The sequence below is a fragment of the Homo sapiens genome, chromosome 2 (assembly GCF_000001405.40).
Source record: "Homo sapiens chromosome 2, GRCh38.p14 Primary Assembly".
In the NCBI taxonomy this organism is placed as follows: Eukaryota; Metazoa; Chordata; class Mammalia; order Primates; family Hominidae; genus Homo; species Homo sapiens.
The window spans coordinates 166,110,264-166,136,520 of record NC_000002.12 but is presented as its reverse complement, the minus strand read 5'-3'; the positions used below and the strand labels follow the sequence as shown (position 1 = coordinate 166,136,520).

General features: G+C 36.4%; 1 protein-coding gene and 1 long non-coding RNA gene across 19 annotated transcripts in view; one reads left to right on the top strand and one right to left on the bottom strand.

Moving 5' to 3' along the window:
* The window catches only part of SCN1A (sodium voltage-gated channel alpha subunit 1), a 164,521-nt gene that overhangs the window by 12,641 nt on the left and 125,623 nt on the right, over positions 1 to 26,257 (top strand). For 11 of the 18 annotated variants that reach the window (NM_001353955.2, NM_001353957.2, NM_001353951.2 and 8 more), the window contains exon 1: positions 8,501 to 8,750. The exons of 4 other annotated variants lie outside the window; for them this stretch is intronic. The gene's annotated coding sequence lies outside the window, so the exon portion shown is untranslated. Of the gene's footprint in view, positions 1 to 8,500; positions 8,751 to 9,510; positions 9,598 to 26,257 lie in introns of those variants that run through there. 3 more of the 18 variants (NR_148667.2, NM_006920.6, NM_001165963.4) reach the window with 1 other exon arrangement.
* SCN1A-AS1 (SCN1A and SCN9A antisense RNA 1) overlaps positions 1 to 26,257 on the bottom strand; it is a 220,254-nt gene that overhangs the window by 165,264 nt on the left and 28,733 nt on the right. The gene's annotated exons all lie outside the window — the stretch shown is intronic.

Below are 26,257 nucleotides of genomic sequence, written 5' to 3'. Positions count from 1 at the left end.
CTACTGCTGTCCTAGAGAGCAGAGGGACAAGAAAAGGGGAGAGAGAACACTCATTAGCAGTTGTGTGTGTGTAGCATAACATAACATATATATATATGCATATATATGATATGTAATCTTAGAAACAACTACCATGTGAAGTAGAGCAAATGATCGCTGAGTTTCATCCTTGCTAAGAGCATGGGAAAATCCACATTCTATGTTTGCTTAGTTGCAGAAAGAATAAGGGAAGCAGAAACGTCAGGGGTCACATCCCCTATGTGTCAATTAAAGGGGTGCAGACTCAGAAGGTGTCCTTACCTACTTTATTTAGCCTGCTCTTCCCCACAAAGATGAGGAATACAGGTGACTTTGATGTCATGATAGCAATCAGAATGTAAAAGAGACTTTCAAAAAGACCTAGTGCAACATGGAAACAAGGACTTTAGTCTCTGAGCTTCCTTATGTATCAAGTGTCATAGAAAATGTTGAGACAAAGTGGTTCTGTCATTTCAACAACCCATAATGAGCAGAAGAATCTGTTTGCCTTTCATGCCACTGCAGATGAACAGGTATGAGAGACTGCACTTAGGCATGAAAGTGCCGCTGCCTAGCACCTCTATCCCATGCTCACATCCGAATCTTCTCAGGTGTGGGTAAGACATCTCAGTTCTCTGCTATTTGATATGAATAGGGGCAATCCCAGAAGCAGCAACTGAGCTCATGGGCCCCAAAATTTCCAAGGAATCACGAGGAGAACTAGGCTAAATGTCATTATTTTCTGACCTTCGATGTACCTTTTCCCTAGTCACTTGCCAATCTCTTCTAAAGGGCCTCAGTCCCTGGAGTGGACCCTAATGATTTCTGTCCATTATTTGGCCTAGAGTAGAATTCTTGCTTTTCTCAAGGAAAGAAACAAAAAGAAAAGATGTAACCAAATGTAATTTATGTGAGTTTGTAAATTGATATCCGAAGATTGGAACTGCATACAGATGTGTCAAAAATGTTAATTTCCCCAAGAAATATGGTAGCACCTAATTCTAGCGACACTTGTATACTTTACAGATGGCTTTGCTGTGCTCCTGGTAAAGTCAATGACTTTCTGCCTTTGAACATGAAAGGAAAAAGATGTTGACAGGAATTCTTTAGGGAAACAGAAACTACATATTTGCTTATGCTAAGTTATGGCAAAGTTCAGTTTTATTCTGTAAATAAAGCGTTGTCTTCATAAATATCAGCTATATCCTTTAGAGTAAAGAAAGTCCTCTTTATTAAAAAAATCTAATTGAAACTCTTCAATAGGTAGGCAAGTGAGGTGATTGATATAAAGATATACTTAAGTGGAAAATTGGTATTCGAGTTCCAATAAGTAATCAATCATATTGTTCTTGGTAATAGCTTTTGTTGATTCATCTTTGCAAGGGATGTCGGGGGGTAGGGGGGATTGCTGAATGAAATAAATCAGGAAAGAACCCAAGCATTATGTTTAACTGACTTAAGAGCAAAGGAAAGAACACATAAACACAGAATAGAATCCACACAGTAACTTCATTCTTTATGATTGCTCAGGCATTTTCATTATTTGCATTTATGTTTATTTTCTCTTTATCCTCCTGTGGCAATAGATATGGAGATAATGCTTTAAATATTGTGATGTACCTTGATCTTTTCTGAAGAACCAAAGCTTTATGAAATCTTGATACATTTAAAGGAGGGGTATAAAGCTCAGGCATGTGAAATGTTGAATTTTGTCTCCCCATATGACAGATAACCATCATATAAATGTGGTTTATTAGACTAAAAAAGTAGAACACATATTTTTAGATTACATCTTGGCATTTCAAAGAAAGTATAGAACTTCAAGATAGTTTGCTTCCTGGATATTTTCTGGAGCTGTCTTTGGGCCTGCATTCCTGAAAGCTGTCAATGCTACACTCTGCATACCCAGAGCTCGTGCCCTTGGGCTTGAGTACTTTGTGGTTAATATTTAAGAACCGCATGTGGAGCTAGATTGAAGGACAGTCACTTTCTTTATTCTTTGCTAAAACCAATGTTGGTTAGTCCATCACCTTCTTAAACAGTAACTGCATTCATACCCTTCATCACATCCATCTCTCTGTCAAAACATGAGTGAAAATCAATTGTGGCATATCTAGAAATACTTCACTCACTTCCATTTTGCTTCTTATGTGCTGATGTACCTTACTCAATATTAATTTCCTTTAGAGTTAAACTGTGGGAAAACTTGAATGGACCTTTGTGGTATAAAACTATCTATGTGACCTTGGACAAGTCACTGCACCTCTCTTGGCATCAGTTTCCTCATATCCAAAATAAGAACACTTGCCTGGTTTATCTCTGAGACTTTTCCAGCTCCACAATTTCTCAATGATTAGCAAAACCCTATCGATAAAGCAATGGTAATGATTTATGTAAATTGACATTCTTTTTTATGAGGTTTACAAAGTTATTTTATTCTACTCCAGGGTTTTGTTGGAAGTCTATTACGGAATTTTTATTCATCAATACTCAGCAGATGTTATCAGGTTCTCTCCAGAAACTACCTTAATTCTACCACAGACTTGGGATATGTTTGGGGAACAATGACAAAAAAAATAAGTCATAGTTCTTACTTTCAAAGAGATTATTGAGTGGGGTCAGACCGTGGAGAGGTGCACCGATAGAGGGTGGAGGAAGATGCGGTCAAAGAAGAGAAGGTCCTGAAAACAGAGGAAACAAAGGAAGCGGAACAGTGAAGGCATAATGGCTCCCTGCTTGTTTAGGAAAAGGCAGAGTTTGTTGTTTTGAAAAACGACATTTAGTGTCATCTTCACTAAATATTAATAATGTCTTCTTACACGTTAGCTAAAGAAGAAAAGATCAAAAATAAACCAGGCCCCCAAATAATAAAGGATTTAAAATTAAAGATATATACAGAGCACTATAGTAATTTTTGAAGTGCTGTTCAGTTGGTGATATAATCAGAGGAATAATGCTATTACATCAAGTGATAAAAAGTAATTTTGTGATTTAATACTCATTCTGAACCTATATTGTAATGCTAATCTCATCAGATGATTGACATTCATATACTTAATTTCCCTTTGAGAAATCAGGTTCATGTATTATTCTGTCTTGTTTATAAAAGCTACTTATTTGGTTTAGGAATATTGTTATTTCCCTCTCCAACACCAATGTCTGCCTATGTAATTGAAAGGAAATTGCAGTGAATCTTCCAACAAGGAGTAACTGCTTCCCTGAAATAATCACCTGCAGACATAATTCTGGCTTCTGTGCGTTGTCTCGATAGCAGGGAAGGCAGAGGGCAACTGGGGAATCTGATTATCTCCATCATAATCCCACAACTTCCCTCCTTTCTCTTTTGCTTTTAATTACTGCATTGTGGTGAGTTAAGAAAAGCCTATACTATTTTTTCTTCTCCACTACCAGAAAGAGAGAGAGATAACTGGCATTCTCTCTCTAAGGATTTTTAAAATACTTTTAATAAAATTTTAAATAGTGTAATGTGTGCCCACAAGCACATTGGTTCTAAAGATACTTCAAAAATACTTCAGAATCAAATCTGTAAGAAAAAAAAATTCAATTATTTATGTTCATTATATTACAAGTGATTTAAAAACTGGTTATCTGTGCATCAAAAAATGCAAGCCTATAGCAGCTCTGATTCAGTGAATTCCAGTTGCGGGGAGGGGAGGAGCCCTCAGATATTTTTATATCATATTTGAAAAAAATGGCTGATTATTATTTTTTTAATTTATGGAATGTATGGACTTTACCAGAGTTTCAAAAGTCCACTTTAGTACCTATAAGATATTTTGAAATCAGTTGGCCAATTCTTGCCATCAAAAAATTGTAACTTTAAACTTGCAGAAAAACTAGTTGGCTCTAGTCCTAAAAGAGAGTTCTTAATTGCAGTTTCTGCATTTATTTGTCTAATAGCAAATAAATTTCACATTCATTTCTGACTCCCTTTCAAAAGGGCAGGTTAATCTCAAAAGGAAATATATGAGTTTATCATTTTCGGCTAGGATATGGTTTCTATTTCTAAAATAGTGGCACAGTGTTGGTGAATGCTTTGTGAGAGCAAGGAATTGGTAGTAGATTTTTGCAGAATGCTGCATTTACCAAAAGAAAAAAAAAAACCACTAGGAAATTGACATCTACAAAAGCAAAGTACTTAAGTAGTAAATTACATTTACCAAGGATCACATCAGTAGTGTGCTTTATCTGATTATTCCAATCAAAAGGGGGCAAAGTCAGGATTTGTAGTGATACAGTGGTCCTGTAGATCTAAAATCTTAAGGTCTGAGTTTAAATCCAAACTCTAGCATTTGCTATCTGTGTTGGGATCACTCCCCGACTTCATCAGAAGACCTGCTAACATCTAGACTTGTCTGTTGTCACCACCATCTCCTTTGGGATACCACCTCAAGGTACTCAAGTTCGCCTCCAGCCTCCAATTCCTTTCCTGCGGTGGGAAGAGAGGGGAGACCCAGCTTCATGTTGCTCAGTGACTATAGATTCCCAAACAAATGACAGGGGAATTTAGAAACATTTCTGCCTTAAAACTCAAATGTCATTTATAACTCTAAACAAGGGAATCTGGAACTCAAAACATAATGATTTGGTCATCACTTTGGGAAATTTTTGGCTAAAAATTAAGAATGGTTTCCTTCTCCTTGGCAGGCATAAAGTTAATTAATAAATTCTCTTCATAAGGCAGCTGGTTAAAGTTTCAGAACTCCACAACTCCAGGAGATACACATTTGAAAGAATATTTTTGATAACCAATTACCTTTATTTTCTATGCAAGAAAATATTAAAGAATATTCAGATACTAATTACACTAATTCCTCAGCCTTCTGATAATGAGATAGTTCTCTCTTTGAACTCTTTCAAGATCTAATGGCATCGAGAGACTCTCCTTTATGTCGTAAAACTAACAGACAAAATTACCTGGCCCAGCTTTTTCCACCTGAGTGACCTCACGCTCTCTTTAATACCCAAAATCTATTGACAGAGATTATGTCCCATTATAATATTCCCTTTTATGTTTTGGCACTGAGCAGTGCAACTGACAGAGCTATAACAAAGTAACAACCACATTCACAGGACAGAGACGGAGTCTTACAGAGACGGAGTCTTACAAAGACTAAATGACATCTTACGCCTTCATTCTCTTTTCCTTGTTAGGAACTCTCATAAAAAAGCCACAGCCATGCCCCCTCAGCCTGTTTAGCAGGTTCATGCATTACAGATTGAAGTATTGTCACCTAGGAAGTAGGCAGCTAATTTTTTCCAGCTTCTGAAACAAGATTACAAAGGGGTTCCTGGAATGGCTAACTTTACCAACGGGGGCAGAGGAAGATTAGTTTTTCATTTTTTGAAGTTGGAAACGTAACAGTGAGAAAGAGACAAAATTATCTCTCAATAAATTAATCTACAAAAAAATAAATAAAATGCAAAGCTGGTTCCACAGGGAGTTTACATTCTGGGAGCCAAATAAGATACATATATAAAACTCTTAGAACAAGGTCAAATGGGATAAGTGTAGTAGTGACATAGGGTAGCACAGAGTTTTGTTTTAATATCTTCTGCTAACTTTAAAAAATAAATATGTGATTTTAAGTGCATATTACACTAATTTAATAAAAATCTCATATTTTGCCTTTATGCTCAGTCTGAAACATGGAAGATTTAAAGTTACTAATACTGTAAAACTGCTTCAGCTCTGACGAATGAAGTATCTGTGTACAGAATGATGAGTTGTTAGTTAATAGTACTCTTTGGGCCATGCTTGGGATATTGGCCTTTTCTAGGAGTCTGTATGAGAATAGTCATTTATCTCCTTATGCTCAATGCTTTCAACTTGTCAAATGACCATGTTTCATAAGATACAACATAAAATTGTTCTATAATTAACAAAAGAAAAAAGAATTCTATCTGCTGAGAAAATAGAAAAGACGTTGGAGAAGAGAGAATATTTGACCCAGACATTTAAAATATCCGCCGAATTTGCTATGTGTAGATGGATGAAAGGTCTGCCAAGAGAAGTGAAGGTTGTGAACAAAGACATGGAGGCGGAAGAAAGGTAGTGTGCACACTGAATGCGTTGTGCCTTTCCATATGACTGACATGTCAATGTAAACTCCACAAAGGGAGGGTTTTGATCTGGTTTGTTTGCCGATGTTACTTAAGTATCTGGAAAAGTGCCTGGCATATATCAGGTGCATGAAGAAGTGAATAAATGAAGTGTCAGATGCCCAGAATATGAATAATACTTGATAGATGCAGTACTGGCAACTTTCTTGAAGCTAATGAAGTGGTTAGGACTCCATAGTTCAACAGAAACCAAGTTCACTTAAGCAAACATGGAGTTTGAGTTTATCATGGGACTCAACATCAAGAAAGTGTTTGGATCTTGAGTAGACTGGAGATGGAAACAGTCTGTCTCTGTCTTTTGTCACTTCTTCCTCCACATCTGTGTGGCTGGCTGCTATTTCAGTATCCTGGTCCACCTGGTCCTGAGTCCCCATGGTGAGGGAAAGCTGACTCCATAGCTGCCAGAATCACATGTAGTGGCTCTCTTTGACCAGGTCAGCTGCGTAGATACCCTCTCTTGCTCCAGTCCTCTGTAGCAAGAGGGTAGGTTTACCACTAAGGATCAGGGGAGAAGAACTATTGGGGGAATTGTTAAGAGCAGACACTCAGAAAAATTGGCACCTATAATATGCAATTAGAATTCATTAAAACATGTGGCCAGGTATGTTCTTATTTTGTGTTTTTACATATCTAATCTCTAAGTACTATTCATATGGAATGTATTATTCTAAAAAAATTGCCTGTTAGTTCATGCAGTTCCCACTCTCTTTTCATCTCTAACATCTTGGCAATCGTTTACCAGTTGTTGATCACCTGTCTCCTCATCTTCTTTCAACTTTGCCCTGACTCTACCAGATACTGGGCAACATCATTTCCCAGACATTGAGTAACTTCAAATGAATGTGTTCATGCTACTCCAACTGGCTTTTGGGAAAGCACTGGATAGAGTTTTTGAGCTGGAACAGGAAATTATCTTACTTAATTTCTTTCTTTTATAGATAAAAAGATGGATCCACAAGATGGACCCATTGGTCCATAATTAAGGGCTAGTAAATGTTTTGTAAACATAGAAATCAAAATTACTTTTCTGTGATTCTAGAACAGGAAAAAATGGTGAACTTTTAGGTATGTTGCAAAGAACAGTGGATTATTCTTTGGGCTCTTGGGACCAACAGCCTTAGTTTTATTGCTTTGCAAGCTATGTGGTCTTGAATAAACCTCAGTAAGGCTCAGAAAGCTTCAGTGTTCTCAAGTATAAATAGGAATAATTATAATATAATAACATTAATAGTATTTATCTCACCATCCTGTAATAAGGAAGAGAAGGATTAAATATTGAAGGTTATATTGATAAATGATAAAACACATGCAATGATTGTAATAAGTGTGTTAGATGGCAAAAGAAAAATAATGAGGATGAAATATTTACTTCCAATGACTAATCTACACATAATCGTGATTTTATGTATGACTGAATGTTTAAGGCTGATTCCATTTTAGAATACAATATATAACATAAAAAGCTCTACTCTCAGTTCCAAGAGTTATAATTAGTTTGGCATGGATTTTTATTGTCTTAGAAAAAACTGATATTCATGGTTTTTATAATTCTATCTTTGGGTAATAGGCAATTGGACTCTCTTTCTATATATATTTGCTTATTAAAATGTGTTATTATAATTAAGCTTTAGGCTGTGTCCACAAGATGGGAAAACATTGGAGTAAAATATAGTAAAACCATAGAAATTGAGAGTGGGTTGAAAGTCTTGTTTAATCTGTAATTACAGATGAAGATAGTAAGAATGTAAATGTCCATAGAAGACTTCAGTGGCTTTGTTAAAGGCATGTGTTCATCAGTGTTGAAGTAAAACTCACATTTTGTGACTCTGAGCTGTTCACTATAATATGAAACCTAATCCTAAAACACAATATTAAAACAGAAAAATGTGAAGCCATAGATCTGTAATAAAGGGCCACCTGATTGTTTCCTGGTGGAATAAAAAGACAGTTTTATTTATAAGATATATCATTTTTATAGATAACAATGATTCATATTAGGAATAAAGTAACAGTTTCAAACTAAAATAATGCTAAAGTTTTTCAAGTACTACTTGAAAATAGCTATATTTACTTTCAAACCTTTTCCTCTTTGAGTCATTAGGTTCATGATATTATATAGCAATAGGGAATGAAAGAGAAGCAAGGAGAAGCAATACTGGGAGATTACAGAGAAGAAAGGAAAAAAGGCTGAGAGAAAAGAGGTTGAGGAAGAAATCATAAATCTGGATTGTGAGAAAGTGTTTAATATTTAGCCACTAGATGGCGATGTAATGTAAGGTGCTGTCTTGACTTTTTTTTTTTTTTTTTGAAACAAGCTATTTGCTGATTTGTATTAGGTACCATAGAGTGAGGCGAGGATGAAGCCGAGAGGATACTGCAGAGGTCTCTGGTGCATGTGTGTATGTGTGCGTTTGTGTGTGTTTGTGTGTCTGTGTGTTCTGCCCCAGTGAGACTGCAGCCCTTGTAAATACTTTGACACCTTTTGCAAGAAGGAATCTGAACAATTGCAACTGAAGGCACATTGTTATCATCTCGTCTTTGGGTGATGCTGTTCCTCACTGCAGATGGATAATTTTCCTTTTAATCAGGTAAGCCATCTAATTGTTTCATCTTGATTTTAAGTTTATTCATTCCAGTTATTCCTTTGGAAAAAGAGTCCATGGAAATTCAGTTTGGGCAGAGCAGGAAGTCCATTTTTGTATGTGTATTCAGACCAACTGTCCCCCTCCTCCCTCTCCTCCTCTTCTCCTCCCCTCCCCTCCCCCCTCCTCTCTCAACCTTCCATGAACTGAAATCAGGTTTGTTTTGCAGTTCAGCATTTTGATAGAAGATGGGATTCTTTGGCCTGAAATAGCTTGGCATCTGGCCAGTTCTTGCCTTTGCTTGCCTTCATCCTATTCAAGGTCCCTTTTGATCCTGTTGAAGCCCCCTCCTTCACTGGTGCTTTGGAAGTGGACTAGCTGGCTGGGAATAGAGGTCATATTGTTCTTAAGGACGGAGCAAAAATTAGATCTCAGTTTTAACTCCACAGGAAGAAAGAAGGCAGCGGGGCTGCTGCTGGAGCCTAGCATTGCAGGGGTATTCAGCTTCCTGAGGCTGAGGCTGGGCTTTTGAGAAGAAATGCCTCATGCCTTGAACAAGGAAGGGGCAATGATTTCCGCCCCCCACCTCTGCCAACTCCTATTGAGCCACACTAAAAAAGAGCTTGAGCAGAGTGGTAAAGAGTCCCCTTTTCTATCCAATGCCAAATAGGAAACATTGACTTACTTTTACTTAGACAGAGGTCACAACCAGCAATGATACTGCAGATACTGCTCAGTTCCTAGTGTGAACCGTCTTGCTTTTCAGAACAGCATAAGAATTATTTCTGAGTGGAGGTGAGGCTTGTCCAAATGTCTTTGCTATCATGGATTTCCTGACTCCTACCTGTTTGAGGTATGTGTTTAAAGACCCGACCCACTTGCTGCATTTACTTCTCATTTCTTTTTGTTCTCTTTGATTACTCACTGGTGATTGTTAACAAATCGGTCTGGAGTGGTGGGTATGTGCTTTTCACCTGTCCAATGCAACAATTAAGTCAAGGCAGGGTATATTACTGTCAATATGTGCATGTGACTAAATATTTCTGAGTGCAGTAGCAAACTTGCAAATTGCCAATTGCTGTTGCTATCACACCTATAAAATGTGTCTTCTTCTTCTATGGATTTACAGGTTCACGTGGTATTTCTGATGCGCTAGTATAGTAACAGAACATATTTCTCCAAAAAGCACTTTAAATCATCCCAAGAGGATGTTGCCAGACAGAAATAGGAAAATTCCATGCTGAGGTTGGTGATTCCTGCTTTAGTTTCTCCTGCCCAGAGAAGTGGGTAGCTTACCTTTCCTATTTGCTGCAATACCTGGCACGCCAGGGTGATGCAACTGGGAGCTTCTGCACGTTCGCGGGGCATCTGACATTCTTCTTTCCCTCAGCTGTGCATTTCAGGAGAATGACTGTGGTGAAAAACTCTTTTAAAACTCTCTTTTATGATTGTTGCTTTTGTAATTGCAATGAAGCAATTACAAAATCACATCTCTCTTCTAGGAGGAGTTTTGCAATTTAGGCCTTCCTTCACAAAGCTCCTGGAAGAGATTTTTAGCTGGTGTCTATTTTAGGAACATAATGTGTAGACAGGAATGAATGGCCACAGAGATTTACGGGAAACCAATTTCTTGGAGAGGGTGAGGTAACATTATAAACCACTAGAACAGAGCACAAGTGGCTGGTTATATCACATGGACCCAGCAATGGAATTAGTTTTCATTAAACTCACTGTAACTCATTTGTGTGGCTGTTTTTCCTCCTTCCTTCACATTGTTTGTCTGTTTTGTTTCAAATATCTATATAGGAGGCCAGGATACCCAGAGTGTTCATACTGGTAACAATAACACATTGGATTTTGCTGCCAATACTAATAGACTTGGTTTACATGCCCCCTCTTGCTGGGAAATGTGCTGTCTGGAGAGTCATTTATTATGGTAATTTCTCTTTAAGACATGGCAGGAGGGATTGTCCATCTATGGGCTGGGGCAAGGCGGGGCACAATTGGAGGCCTAGTTAATTATACAGTATTCAAGAAGGCACTAAGGAGCTCAGTCAGGATTCTGTTGTACCAACCAGAGATACCAGGGGCAACCAGACCGACTAGATACCCAAAGTAAACTCTATCACCACCAACAGAGGAATCCAGTAAGAAACATTCTAGTTCCTTGTATAGAGGGTACTATCAGGGAATCCAGACAATCAGAGAGGGTAAACACAAGAGCACCTCATCTGGGAATTGCTGACGAAGAAGAGAAAATCTGGGGCTTGCTTGGTGTTACCTCTAGGACGTCACCAACCAGGCATTTCTCAAGGGTTTATGTCGGTGTGAGCCTGACAGTGACACACAAAAGCATCCCTCCAAAATTTAGCCTGGGGACCTTGAAAGGTATTGCTTTCTCCCTGGGCAGTTGGAGAGGCTGAACCTACTATTTTCTCCCTGTACTCGCCAAAGGGCACAAAGCCTACTCTCTTCCAGCTACCTCAGAATGGGGAGGGTGGGAGAAACAGATCCCAGAGAAGGATGGGAGAGAATCAGCAATTGAAGGTCCTGTATAGTCACCCTCAGGGTCAATGGGGCTGTGCTCCGTGAGGTTATCACTTCCTTTTTAAATTCTAATTAGTGAATGAAGCATGTTCCACCGCTCAATTGAGATTGCATTAGTTTAGGGTAGGGTGGGAAGAAATTTATTCTCATTGCACTTGTGATCAGAAAAATAAGTTGTGACAGAATTCCCCAAGCTGCCCCAAAGTTTGCTTTTCCAACTTTTAAATTTTGTCCACATTCCTAGATTTCCATTTATTAATTGTTTTATTTATCAAAAACATATAGCATTTACTCTGTGCCAGCCACTATCCTAAGCAGTACTTTGCAAATATGATCTCATTTAATCCTATGAGGTAGATACTATTGTTAATTTTACAGGTGACAAAACCAAGGCACAGTGAGGTTCAATTAACTTGCTGGGTTATACAGTTAGTAAGTGGCAGAATCCAAGCAGTCCAGCCACACCGTGGCCATGGCGTCTGTGTTCTTGATGTTTGCTCATCATCCATGTGATGGTAGAGCTACAGCTTAGCCAAGAGACTCAGGACTGAAGTTGGGTGCAGTCGTACATGTGAGCTGTAATTCATCTGCTTTCTGACATGCCAAAATTCCAAAAACAGTTTGGTTTAGAATGATTACCCAAATCCACTCCATTTGTTTGTTTGTTTGTTTGTTGTTTTTTTGAGACAGAGTCTCACTCTGTCACCCAGGCTGCAGTGCAGTGGCACGTTCTTGGCTCACTGCAATTTCTGCCTCCCGGGTTGAAGTGATTCTCCTGCCTCAGCCTCCCCAGTAGCTGGGACTACAGGCGAGTGTCACCATGCCTGGCTAATTTTTGTATTTTGTAGAGATGGGGTTTCACTATGTTGGCCCGGCTAGTCTCGATCTCCTGACCTCAAGTGATCTGCCTGCCTCAGCCTCCCAAAGTGCTGGGATTACAGGAGTGAGCCATCACACCGGGCTATTTGTTAAAAAATTAAAAAAAAAAAAGCTCTCCTGTACAATAGAAGATAGAAGGGTCTGCGTTCTAAGTGCAGGAATGTGGTGAATAAAGCAAAATTCCTACCCACATGCAGCTTTCAGTCTGGTGATAGAGTTGGACAGTAGGCAAATCAATGTGCAAAGAAATGTCAGTAAATGTAAGTTCTTTGAAGAAAAATACTGCAAGATAAAGAGATAGTGAGGATGAGAGGGGCATGCAAACAGAAAATAATGAAAGAGGTGGAGAAAAAGTTTTTTTAAGCAGAAATCTAATGAGGCCAATGATGGATTGAATCAAAGGTGCTAAAGGGTGAAGTGCCTCACAGGTATGAAGAGTGGCACAAACCTTGTGGGTGATCCTGAAAGTAAAAGAAACGAACAGAAATAGCACCATAGAGGTGTGCAGCCAGATCTGTGGAATCTCAGAGATTGGGCTTAGGGCTCTAACTGCCCCCGACTTTTAAAAAAACAAATCAAAGAGTTATGTCAAATAAATTTAAAACATTCAATGTTAACAAGTTATTAGGTTTAAAAAAAACATAAATCAGTCATTTTCACAAAAAAAAGTTTTGAGAGTTTGTAAAGTTCTCTGAAAAAATGTTGCAGTTCCTAGAATGCAAAAAAATTGCCTCAAAAATGTTGAAAAGAACTGATCCAAAGGTAGTGAGTTATCTCAGTTGATTGTTCACAGTCAGTTACAGATCAAACTCCTTGTTCTACGCTTTCCCCTCTTCTCACTACTGCTCTTGTCTAAAAACTTTTTTAAAAATTAAAAAATATTGAAAAGGTACTATTTGATGAAAAAAAAATTGTTTGAATGAGATCATTGGTTAGAATGATATAGTCACCCAGTCAGTTTTTCTTCCTCCAGAAATGATACACTGACCAGGTGCAGGCAAGAAAGAGACACTAAGCATGAAAACCAGTGTTTACATCCCCCATAGTGGCCAGGACACAGGAGCTGCTTGGAGGGATTTGAACAAATCTTTTTTTTTTTTTTTTTTTTTTTTTTTTTTTTTTTTTTTGCAAATGAATGAGTAGGAATGTGATTTCAAAATAATTTGATAAACATCAGCTTTCATTTTCATCTATGTTAAAACTTTTGTTACCATATTTTTATTCCTTCAAGACTCATATTCCAATGGTTTATCTTTTTATATTTTTTTCACTATTTGCTTCCCCTCATTCTCAGTTACCTATGGACACTGTAGTTCTTCTCTAGAAAATGTGAATTTGCTTCTCTTCTAACTTAGAATCAACCTGACATTTTAGCTTTTCTCTGTAAATGGTCAAAAGTCTTTGCCTTATCATATTGCCTGTTTCTCCTTTGGTGCTCTACCTACAAACTTAGATTTAATTTTGATGAAGAATCTACTCTAACTTTTTTCTTTTGTCACTTGTGCTTTTAGTCTCATGTATAAGAAACCGTTGCCTAATCTGAGGTCATAAAAATTTACTTCTATTATTTTTCAACTAGTTGTATAATTTTAGCTCTTGCATTTAGATCTAGGATTCATTCTGAGTCAACTTTTTGCATATAATGTGAGGTAGGGGTTCAGCATTACTCTTTTGTTTGTTCATATCTAGTTGTCCCAGCACCACGTGTTGAAAAGACAATTCTTTCCCCGGTGAATTGTCTTATTAACATTGTTGTCCATGCGTTTATGATTTTAGCATCAATTATTTCTTACAGTGGGTACTAGGGATATATCTTTTAAGAAAAGGTCAGTGAGATTCTTTGTTCTTGAGAATCCACATAACTTTAAAGAATCAGAAAACTGATCCATATACCCTTAACTATTAAACACTTTATTGATCTAACTTCACAACAAAATGTTTCTTCTCATTATTGGAAACATATTCATTTGTGACTCCACTGAAAATTTAAGGAGATAATGAGCAAATATTTCCAGGGAAAGGTTATATTTATTCCAAAGAAACATATTTACTGTATTGCACATGCTTTCCCAAAGTTACACAAATATTATCCATGTTCTTTGTAATATATGTTGCTAGTATGCTTTTGTTTCACAGATACCATTGGGGAAACTACTGAACTTGAGATAGAGGTGTGCCATTCAAATAGGGTTGGTTTCTGTATTAGTTAACTTGGGCTACCATGACAAAGTACCACAGACAGGGTGGCTTAAATAACAGTATTTATCACAGTTCTGGAGGCTCGAAGTCCAAGAACAAGGTACTGGGAAGTTTGGTGTCTTCTAAAGCCCGTCTCCTTGGCTTGCTGATGTCTGTCTTTTCCTCTGTGCATGTGCATTCCTGGTGTCTCTTTTCTGTCTAAATTTCATCTTCTTTTAAGGACACAAGTCATATTGGATTGTGGTTCACCCTAAAAGTCTCATTTCACTAAACCACTTCTTCAAAGGCTCTAACTCCTAACACAGTCACATTCTGAGGTACCGGAGTTTGAGACTCCAACATATGGATTTGGGGAGGATACAATTCAGCCTCTAACAGTTGTCTCTGGCAATACTTATGACTACTAAAATCATAAGCAAAGAAGGTTAAATTGATATTTTTTTGTTGTTGATGAAACTGTTGTGGTTATTTTATAAATGATGGATTTTCATTATTCATACCCTCCTCCTACTGGATAATAATGAGTTATCTGTGTATGTGTTAAGATTCTAATAAAGGCAATTAATTAGGTTTGTAATTACAGGCATGATGACTAACAAAGTGGGGGCAGAAATAAAATGATGGTGACACTGATTCCACTGCTGTGCCTATAATGTCACATTTACATTCATGATCTGTGATAAGAATTAAGATGCTCATTTATTTCAGTGAGGAAAGTGACAGAAAAGGATATAAAATTAGGAATTCATGGGGAATTGGTAAAAAAAAATTAAAGTATTACAATAAGTAACTGAAACTGACTCAGGTTAATTTAAGTATAAAAGCAATGTCTTCAAAAGATATTATAGTTCACAGAGTTAAGGGATAGCTACAATCTAGACTGAAAAATGCCAGGAGCAGAGAAAACTATAAGAGCAGATAGCCCAGTTGGTAGACTTTTGGTGGTTTCTGTAAGGTGCTGTAATCTAGAATGAATCAGCTCAACTGCTTTCAGGCTCTTTGTCTTTCTTTCTTTTTCTTTTTTTTTTTTTTTCTTTTTTTTCCTGACATTCATGTTTAACACCAAAATTCCAGGAAGTAAACATCTGGTTGGTCAAGTTTGGGTCATGAATCTGATCCTTTTAGTTAAGAGTAAACTTAACTAACAGTTCCTTGACTGACATTTCCACCAAACTATCCCCATATAGGAAAACTAATTCAACCCAAACAAAATTGGAGAGATTAATAGTCTACATAGGCCAGATACAGTGGCTCAAACCTGTAATTCCAGCACTTTGGAAGGCCAAGGTGGGCAGATCACCTGAGGTCAGGAGTTTGGGACCAGCCTGGCCAACATGGTGAAACCCCGTCTCTACTAAAAATACAAAAAAATTAGCCAGGCATGGTGGTGTGCACCTGCAGTCCCAGCTACTCAGGAGGCTGAGCCAGGAGAGTCACTTGAACCCGGGAGGTGGAGGTTGCAGCAAGCCGAGATCATGCCACTGCACTCCGGCCTGGCGTCTGGATGACAGAGCAAGACTCTGTCTCAAAAAAAAAAAAAAAAAAAAAAAAAAAAGAGAAAAGAAAAAAGAAAACAGTCTACATACACAATGCTGGAAGGTTGAAAGAATGGCTAAATAAATCATAGTCTAGGCAAATGATGAAATATTATAGTACCATTAAACATAATGTTTCAATGAATATTTAATTCTATATAAAATTGCCCAGGTTATAATAGTATATTAAAAAGTACCTTACAAACATATATATCTAGGATGGCCCCAATTACGGAAAAAAAACAAACATGTTTTTCCTTAGAAAAAGCCCTGAAGATAATATAATAGTTATCTCTGGTTTATAGAATTAGGATTTCTGTTTTCTTCTTTATAAAGTTTTTGTTTTAAAAATAGAATATTACATCTTATTTTTTCTTATAATAAAAGTAATACATAAAGGAAAAGGAACATAAAGTACATAAAAAAGGAACATAAAGTGCATAAAACAAAAAAAAAATTTAAATAGAATATTACATCTTATTTTTCTTATGACAAAAGTAATACATAAAGCAAAAGTAATACATAAAGCAAAAGGGAAATATAAATTAATAAAATGATGAAATAACTCACAATTTTACACAACAAAATTATTATTGTTAATAATTTATTTTTTCAAATGCTTTGGTATTGTTTCTTACCAAACAATTTGGCATTGTTTTGGTATGTTTTCTTAAAATAAAGTTCAAAATAAACATATGTTGCCTTAAAAACTAGAATAAAAGTGTACATTAGTTTTCAAATAGAATTTAGTAATCTATTTCATGCAAAGATACTCATTGTATCTTTAATCAAAATAGTAAATTTAGTTTAAATTATTGATGAAACAATTGAATGTTTGAATATTTTGTCTTTTGGAATATTAATAAAACTAGGCCACAAACCTTGTATAATAAAAGTACAGTATTTTGAAAATTTTGTAACAATGGAAAAGCTTTGGGAATCGGTCTAATATAAAATTAGACTTGAAATAGCAAATTGGTGGTGTTCTGAAAATCATGTTACTTGGTAACCTAAGTTTTCTCTTTAGAACTCAGCACGAATTTTAAGAAATTTATCTTATATTTATAAAACATCTACTATTTGCAATGAGTTGTTTTTAGCAAAACTTGACCTCAAATTGAACATTTGAGAATACTGAAGAATAAATAAGAAGCACCTGTAAATACTGACATAGTATGTCCTTAAATTTTTAAACTACTTAGAACCAAATTCATCAAGTTGGCAAAATGAAGTTACTAGATTATCAAATGGAATGGCAAGTGAAAATGAGCCAGAGGTGGCAGAATGGAGTAAGAAGGGTAATTATTAGGGAATGCTGCATTTGGAGATGTGAAATTATATGTGTTGAGGATGTGAGGAAAGAAATCTGTGTGAGGAGAAATAGATTATTAATGATGTAACTTAGTAACATCAGATTAAGGGTCCCCAAACCCTGGGCCACGGACCAGTACTGGTCCCTGGCCTGTTAGGAACTGGGTCGCACAGTAGGAGGTGAGCAGTGGGCCAGGGAGCATTACAGCCTGAGCTCCGCCTCCTGTCAGATCAGTGGCGGCATTAGATTCTCATAGGAGCACAAACCCTATTGTGAACTGTGCATGCACAGGATCTAGGTTGTGTGCTCCTTATGAGATTCTAATGCCAGCCCCCACTCCCCACAATGTCCGTGGAACAACTGTCTTCCACAAAACCAGTCCCTGGTGCCAAAAAGGTTGGGGACTCCTTATCTAGATTATTGTAAAGCAAATATTCATAATTTTAAGATTAAAGAAAAAATCCAATAAAGATGAGAAACCGGATCTCAGAGTTTCCAATTACATATTCATAGAGGAAAGAAAGCTAAGAGAATTCTGTCACATACATATTTCAATCTAAGAAATTCAGTGGATTTGAAAATCCTGGAAAGAGTTACTTTGAGACTTCACAAATGCTACCAGGCAGCAGTTTTGATATTACCCTGGAATGTGATATGCCACTTAAAAAGGCCAGTAGTATTTTGGGCTATGTATGTCAGTGTGTTGGGACAAAACCAAGGAGAAAACAGTCCGGTGTCAGGTCTAGAATACCATCATTTCAGTGCCACCTGGGCCTCAGCATTTCAGGTTTCAGGTGATTTGAGGAGTCTGTGAGGTCGCACAATAATATTTAAGGCCTTTAAAGGGTCAATCAACTTGTACAAATGAAGGCAAGAGTGCCTTTGGAAGACATTCCAAAAAGGAAGTTTGAGCATACTCAAGAAGAATCTAGCCACTGCACTCCAGCCTGCGCAAGAGAGTGAGACGCTTTCTCAAAAAAAAAAAAAAAAAAAAAAAAAAAAGAAACTAAATAGAAATCAGTAAGCAAAGAAAAAGAAAATAGGAGTGTGATTTTTCTTCCTGAAATCTCTGTGGAATAGCAAAAAGTGGAATCTTGACTGTATCTTCTCTGGGACCAAACTTTATCTTACTCTCCCTGACTCTCTCTCTCTCTCTCTCTTTTTTTTTTCATTCCTAGGCATTTTGTTTTACTCTGTTTTTGCATACTCTGCTGATTTCTAACCCTCCTTCCATTCAGTAACATATAAAAAAAACTTTTCACAGTCATGTTCTCAGAATGTTCATAGTCTTTAATGCATATAGAATATAATCCAAAAAATCAAAAAAAAAATTTTTTTTTTTGAGACAGAGTCTCACTCTATTGCCCAGGCTGGAGTGCAATGGCAGGATCTCGGCTCACTGCAATCTCCGCCTCCTGGGTTCAAGCGATTCTCCTGCCTCAGCCTCCTGAGTAGCTGGGATTACAGGCGCACACTACCACACCCAGCTAATTTTTCTATGTTGGCCAGGCTGAACTCCTGATCTCGTGATCCGCCTGCCTTGGCCTCCCAAAGTGCTGGGATTACAGGCATGAACCTCCGTGCCCGGCCAAAAAATTCTTAATGTGATTTTAGCAGTTATTTTCAAAATGTGGTCCACAGATGCTCTTGCATTCCCTTGAGACTTTTTAAATGATTCATCAGGTCCAAACTATTTTCATAATGATACAAAAACATTATTTACCTTTTTCACTGTGTTGACATTTGGAAGAACAATGAAACCCCTAGCCTTAACACTTATCAAGACAGTGACAACAAACTATACTGTCATTGTATTCTTCACTGTAATTCATTCCCAGTAAAAATAAGTAAATAAATAAATGAATAAAATTAAAGCCAGTTGCACTAAAAGAATGTCTTTGACGAAACACTAGAAATTAATTTTATTTAATCTATACCATTAAGTACACATATTTTTAATATTCAGTATACATGAAGAAATGGAAAGTATACATGATTAACATCTGCTGTATATCAACAATAATGCTGGTTGTCTTAAGGTAAAGCACTTGTGTAGTTGTTTGAGTTGCAAGCTAAACTAGCTGTACTTCCATAGAATACTATTTTTATTTGAAAAAATGACTGAGAGACAAATTGTGATTATTCAAACAGATATTGAAAAGACAAATTTTTGAAAATAAATGGAGACTGTCATTTTAAAAATACATTTGACAATATTTGTTGTCAGTGACAAAATTTGGCCTTTCAAGAGAAAATTATTATTTTGAAAAAGATGCATCTGCCACCATGAGCTCAACAGCTTCTCAAAACTTACAGGGTTTCTGATGTGATTAGTGGTAATATTAACAGATGAATAATGAAATCTTCCAATATTTTGAAGACCTGCATAACTTAGCCAAGCACTCATCCCATTAGATCTTTTTCTTTTAGAAATATGGTTATTTTCACTTGAAATTTATTTTGTTGACATGTGATTTATGATTATAATTTATAAATTTATTAATTGATGTGCTTGTGATTTTTCTGCTTTCTAACATGGTAAATGGCAATACATTGAACTCATTATAAAGAAGAATTTTTTGTTTCCTCAATAATATTAACAATCAAAAGGAGTCTTGAGACAAAAAAATTATGACAAGGATGAATTTGATAATTCATCAGATTCTGGGACACTGAATCTGATGAATTTGATAATTCATCAGATTCTGGGACACTGAATCTGATGAATTATCAGATTATCTGATAAATTATTCAGATTAAGTTTGTTGCACTGTATTAGTTGAGATTATTATAATGCAGATAATTGAGTCCCCCAGAATTATGCAGGATAGAGAAGATATTTGTCACATTACACAAGTTAGTACATTTTTCATTACTGTAATATGAGCTGCACATATCAGTTTAGTTCAGTAAGTTCTGTATAAAGTGAGTAAAAATTGTTGCAAAGCAAATCAGAGGATTATAAAATATAAATGTTCTAATACTCTTGTTAGGACTTTCATCTTTCCTCACCTAAACCAATGTAAGAAGTTTCTATTGGTCTTTTTCTAAATGTTCACCCACTCCCTTCCCTCAATTAGAACCTGATCTCCATACTACCACCAGTGACCTTTCAAACATGTGGGCCACATCTCTACTTTTTAAGACTGTAAGTTATATCCTGGAGTAAAAGCTATTCAGTTATTCAGCATGGCTGGCTTTCATGAGCTGTCCAGGTTTATTTCTTACCCCATGGTCGATCTACCTTACCATTAGTCCTTCAGAAAGAACTAATTGCATTTCTGTGAAGACCTAAAGCTGTTTCTATCTCTAGGTCTTTGCTACTGCTTCTTTATTTGGTGAATAGCCACGACCTCTTCTTCCCCAAGTATGATTAATTTCCTTTTGTGTTGTGCCTAGGTCCTGTATACATTTCTATCATCTCTCCCACTGCACTTTATTGTGCTTATTCCCCTGTCTTCCTCTGCTATACTGTACCTTCTTTGCAATATGGTGCAGCATATTGTCTGATGTGACTAAGTCTCATTGCCACTGCCTACTTCCGTTTTCGGTGTCTAGGTTCTCAATAGAAATTGTTAAATGAAAATGAAACAAAACAAAAACATTTTTAGGGTTACCTTTAATATTAATACCTGACAGTTTTACATTTTATAGGATGCTTTCGCAAATACTGTTTTTGTAGAAATATGCTTGAAGCATATAATAATTTAAATAATTCTTTTATTTCTTATGCAAGTCCCAAACTCCTATTCTAAACTCATATATACTATGAGTATTGAACTACTTATATATACTATGATTAAGCACTGCTTTTCAAAGTAATTCTGAATGCATTTTTTCTTCAAATTATTACTGTTAGCTGTTTTTACTTATTCAGTGTCTGAGAAATTTGATTACTTCTCCTTTTATCATTTTGAGGTATTCTTTTTTGTTTGTTTGTTTTAGACGGAGTTTCGCTCTTGTTTCCCAGGCTGCTGGAGTGCAATGAAGCAATCTCGGCTCACTGCAACCTCCACTTCCTGGGTTCAAGCAATTCTCCTGTCTCAGCCCCCCAAGTGGCGGGGACTACAAGCATGCGCCACCATGCCCAGCTAATTTTTTGTATTTTTAGTAGAGATGGGGTTTCATCATGTTGACCAGGCTGGTCTTGAACTCCTGACCTCAGGTGATCCACCTGTTTCGACCTTCCAAAGTTACAGGCGTGAGCTACCGTGCCTAGCTCATTTTGAGGCATTCTTTGGTCTTTGCTTGAGTCTAATTATTAGCAAATTATTCAAGTACTATATTTTATAGTTATGGAATGCATTGATATTATAGAAAACAGAATATTTAGAAAAGCATAAAGAAGAAAATAATATTTGTGATCTCATAATCTATGTGATTTTCCCCACAATAATAAAATATTGCTTTTAACATGTTAATATTTTGCTCTAAACCATTTCTCTTCCTGTTTGAATAATGGGATTCCTATGGTGTTTTCAATTTTGTAGCACATATTACATCTTAAACATTTTTTAATGCCATCAGAATAGTTCAAAAGTATAATATTAATGGCTTCATAATATTTCCTTGTAGTTTTACATTTATTTAATTATTCTGATAATCATGGAAATTTTATTTCATTTTAGTTGCATCATTACTTTTGAAGTAAATTTAAATAACACATTAAAAATACCAAGAATTTTACATTTTTATTAATAGCCAAAAGATCATCTGTTGTATAAACAGATCCCAAAACTTAGGGTTTTCTTGATTAAGGAAAACAGAAGGCCAACAAAGTCCATGCAGTACACACAAGATATAGTCAATTAACACTTAAATCTGAAGGAAACAATTCCAGTGCATGGTTTCTTGCACTGGGCTTGTTCTCTTTCTTTTTGATTCTCCCTTCTGGTCCTCACTGGGAGTAGGAATCACACAAAGAGCTTGGCTCACTACTTTCATTCACTCTCTCCTTCTCTCATCATTTGTTCAAAATGAACCCATTTGGGCTAGTTCTTTAATACTCTCAGATGTTTTCCTGCTTTCAGAAACAGGCACAAAATAATTTATATATTAACATTGAACAACTCTCTGAAAATCATTGCATTGTTTAACTAATTTCTGATTTTTCTACCACTTTACAGCAGAAAACAACTTTCTTCTTAGAGTTCTTGATACAAACTTTTTAAGAAATTTAAAATATACATTAAAATCTGTCTTTGATGAGCATACTAAATAATATGATAGCTGGAAGGGAGGTAAGGAAGTGGTAACAGTTTTAAAGTTCTTATTTATTTTTCAAATATGAATAGTTACAGGTTTGTTATTATCTAAGAAAGAGAATTATTAATATTCTCCATGAGATCCAAGGATCACATTATATCTCAAACCAAGGTAACATTAGAGTGTGAAAAACAATTTTAATTATTATTTTATCAATTTTAAAAATTTTTGTATATTTGTGGGGTACAAGTGCAATTTTGCTACATTGATATATTGCATTTTGGTGAAGTTACGGCCTTCAGTGCATCCATCACTGGAGCAATGTGCATTGTATCCACCAAGCAACCTCCTATCATCCACCCACCTTGCACCTACTACCCTTCCAAGTCTCCATTGTGTTTTATCTTAAAGTGTAGTAATTCTTGCCCTCTAGCAATAACCTTGGTGTATGCATCTAATTCTCAGAGGGTAATCTACAATTTCAAAACTTTAAAAGTAGCTGTTTAAAATTATAGCACACCTGTTATTTTATATTTATGATTAGTATATATATCGGTTGTTCAAGCTAAAAGACAAATGACAGGAAACATTTTAATCAATAGCATTCTTTTAGCTATTATGGTAATATTCATATTTATTGGGACTTAGAGTAAAACAGTCAGGAAGTTGGTCAGAGCAAGAAATAATTTTCTCATTCTTTTTTCATTTACTAGTCATTCATTTAACAATATGTATTGAGAACCTAGTATATTTAATACTAGGTGCCAAGATATCTACTCTTAAGTACTTAGATTCTAAATTTAAAAAAAAGCCAAGTACTACTGTTTTAACCACACCACTTCTGACATCAAATATGTGGGTCGTTTTGTTTTTGTTTTTGTTTCTGTTTTTCCCTCACCACTCAATTGTCTGACAGCCAGTTGAGTGTCCCACAATTCAATTCAATAATAACTTGGCATTATCCTCAGATACCACAAGTCAATGGCTCAGTCTCACAAAACTGCCCCACTTCAAACATCAGTTGCAAGACCCAGGCCTCTGGAACTTCTGACTGACCAGCTATAAATCCTCCAGTTCAATAATGTGCTACAACAGCTCACAGAATTTAAGAGCTTACTATTTCCAGTTTATTGTAAAGGAACAGCCTGGAAGAGACATATAGCAGAAAGTATAGGGTAGGAGAAGCTATCCAAACTCCATAATTTAGAGTTTTTATGGAGGTCTCATTATGTAGGCATAATTGATTAAATCATTGACCATTGGTGATTAGCTTAATCTTCAACCCCTAGCCCATCCCTTGCAGATGCAGGTCTTTCTAGTGACTAGCCTCAATCCTGAAGCTATGTAGGGGCCCTCAGCCACTTGTCATCTCATTAGCATACAAAAAGGCACTCCAGAGATTCTAAAGATTATAGAAGCTCTTATGTCAGAAAATGGAACTAAGGCCAAATATAAGAAAGATGCTGCTATCACCAATATTAATCAGGAAATAACAAGGGTTATAGGAGCTCTGTGCCAGGCAGCAAGAACTAAGACCAAATACAGGCACACCTCAGAGATATTACACATTTGGTTCCAGCCCACCACAAAAAAGCCAATATTGCAATAAAGTGAGTCACACAAGTGTTTTGATTTCCCAGTGCATATAAAAGTTATGTTTACACCATACTATAGTCTATTAGGTATGTGATAGTATTATGTTGAAAAAAAGTGCATACCTTAATTTAAAAATGCTTTATTGCTAAAAAATGCTAACAGTCATCTGAGCCTTCAGTGAGTCATATAATCTTTTTGCTGGTGGAGAGTCTCGCTTTGATGTTGATGGATGCTGACTGATCAGGGTGGTAGTTGCTGAAGGTTGAGATGACTGTGACAATTTCTTACAATAAAACAACAATGAAGTTTGCCACGTTGATTGATCTTCCTTTCACAAAAGATTCCTCTGTAGCATGTGATGCTGTTTGATAGCATTTTACCCACAGTATAACTTGTTTCAAAATTGGAGTCAATGCTTTCAAGCCCTGCCACTGCTTTATCAAATAAATTTATGTAATATCTAAATCCTTTTTTGTCATTTCAACAATGTCCTCAGCATCTTCACCAGGAGTAGGTTCTATTTCAAGAAATCACTTTCTTTGCTCGTCTATAAGAAGCAACTCCTCCTCTCTTAAGGTTTTATCATGACATTGCAGCAATTCAGTCACATCTTCAGGCTGCATTCTAATTCTAGTTCTCTTGCTATTTCTGCCACATTTACAGTTACTTCTTCCACTGAATCTTGTACCCCTCAAAGTCATCCATGAAAGTTGGAATCGATTTCTTCCAAACTCCTGTTCATATGGATATTTTTACCTCCTCCCATGAATTACAAATGTTCTTAATGGGATCTAGGATGGTGAATTTTATCCAGATGATTTTCAATTTACTTTGCTCAGATCCATCAGAGGAATCACTCTCTATAGCAGCTATAGTCTTATAAAATGTATGTCTTAAATAATAAGACTTGAAAATAAAAATTATTCCTCAATCCATGAGCTGCAGAGTGCGTGTTGTGCTATCAGGCATGAAAATAACATTAATCTCCTTGTACATCTCCATCAGAGCTCTTTGCAACATTGTCAGTCAGCGGTAATATTTTGAATGGAATCTTTTTTTTTTTTCTGAGCAGTAGGTCTCAATAGCAGGCTTAAAACATTCAATAAAGCATGCTGTAAACAGATGTGCTGCCATTCAGGCTTTGCTGTTCTACTTATAGAGCACAGGCAGAGTATATTTAGCATACTTCTTAAGGGCCCTAGGATTTTTTTGACTAGTAAATGAAAATTGGCTTCAACTTAAAGTCACTGGTGACATTAGCTCCTAACAAGAGACTGAACCTATTCTGTGAAGCTTTAAAGCCAAGCATTGACTTCTCCTCTCTAGCTATGAAAGTCCTAGATGGCATCTTCTTTTAATATAAGGCTGTTTCATCTATATTGAAAATCTGTTGTTTAGTGTAGTCACCTTCATCAATGATTGTATTAGTCTGTTCTCACCCTACTAATAAAGACATACCCGAGACTGGCTAATTTATAAAGGAAAGCAGTTTAACGGACTCACAGTTCCACATGGCTAGGGAGGCCTCAAACAATCATGGTGGAAGATGAAGGAGGAGCAAAGGGATGTTTTACATGGTGGCAGGCAAAGAAAGTTTGTGTAGAGCAACTCCCCTTTATAAAACCATCAGATCTCCTGAGACTTATTCACTACCACAAGATCAGCATGAGAAGGACCTGCCCCCATGATTCAATTACCTCCCACTGGGTTCCTCCCATGACATGTGGGAATTATGGGAGCTACAATTCAAGATGAGATTTGGGTGGGGACATAGCCAAACCATATCAATGATCTTAGCTAGATCTTCTGGATAACTTGCTGCAGCTTCTACACCAGTACCTACTGCTTAACCTTGCACTTTAATTTTATGGAGGCAGCTTCTTTCCTTAAACCTCATAAACCAAACTCTGCTAACTTCAAACTTTTCTTCTGTAGCTTTCTTACCTCTCTCAGCCTTCACAGAGTTCAAGAGAGTTAGAGCCTTGCTCTGAATTAGGCTTTGGCTCAAGGGAATGTTATGGCTGGTTCAATCTTTTGTTCAGACTTTCTTCATATCAGCAATAAAGCCATTTTACTTTCTTATCATTTTTGTGTTCACTGGAGTAGCACTTTTAATTTCCTTCAAGAATATTTAAGAATATTTCTTTTTCATTCACAACTCGGCTAACTGTTTGGTTCATGAGGCCTAGCATTTGGCCTATCTAGGTTTCAACATGTCTTCCTCACAAAGCTTAATTATT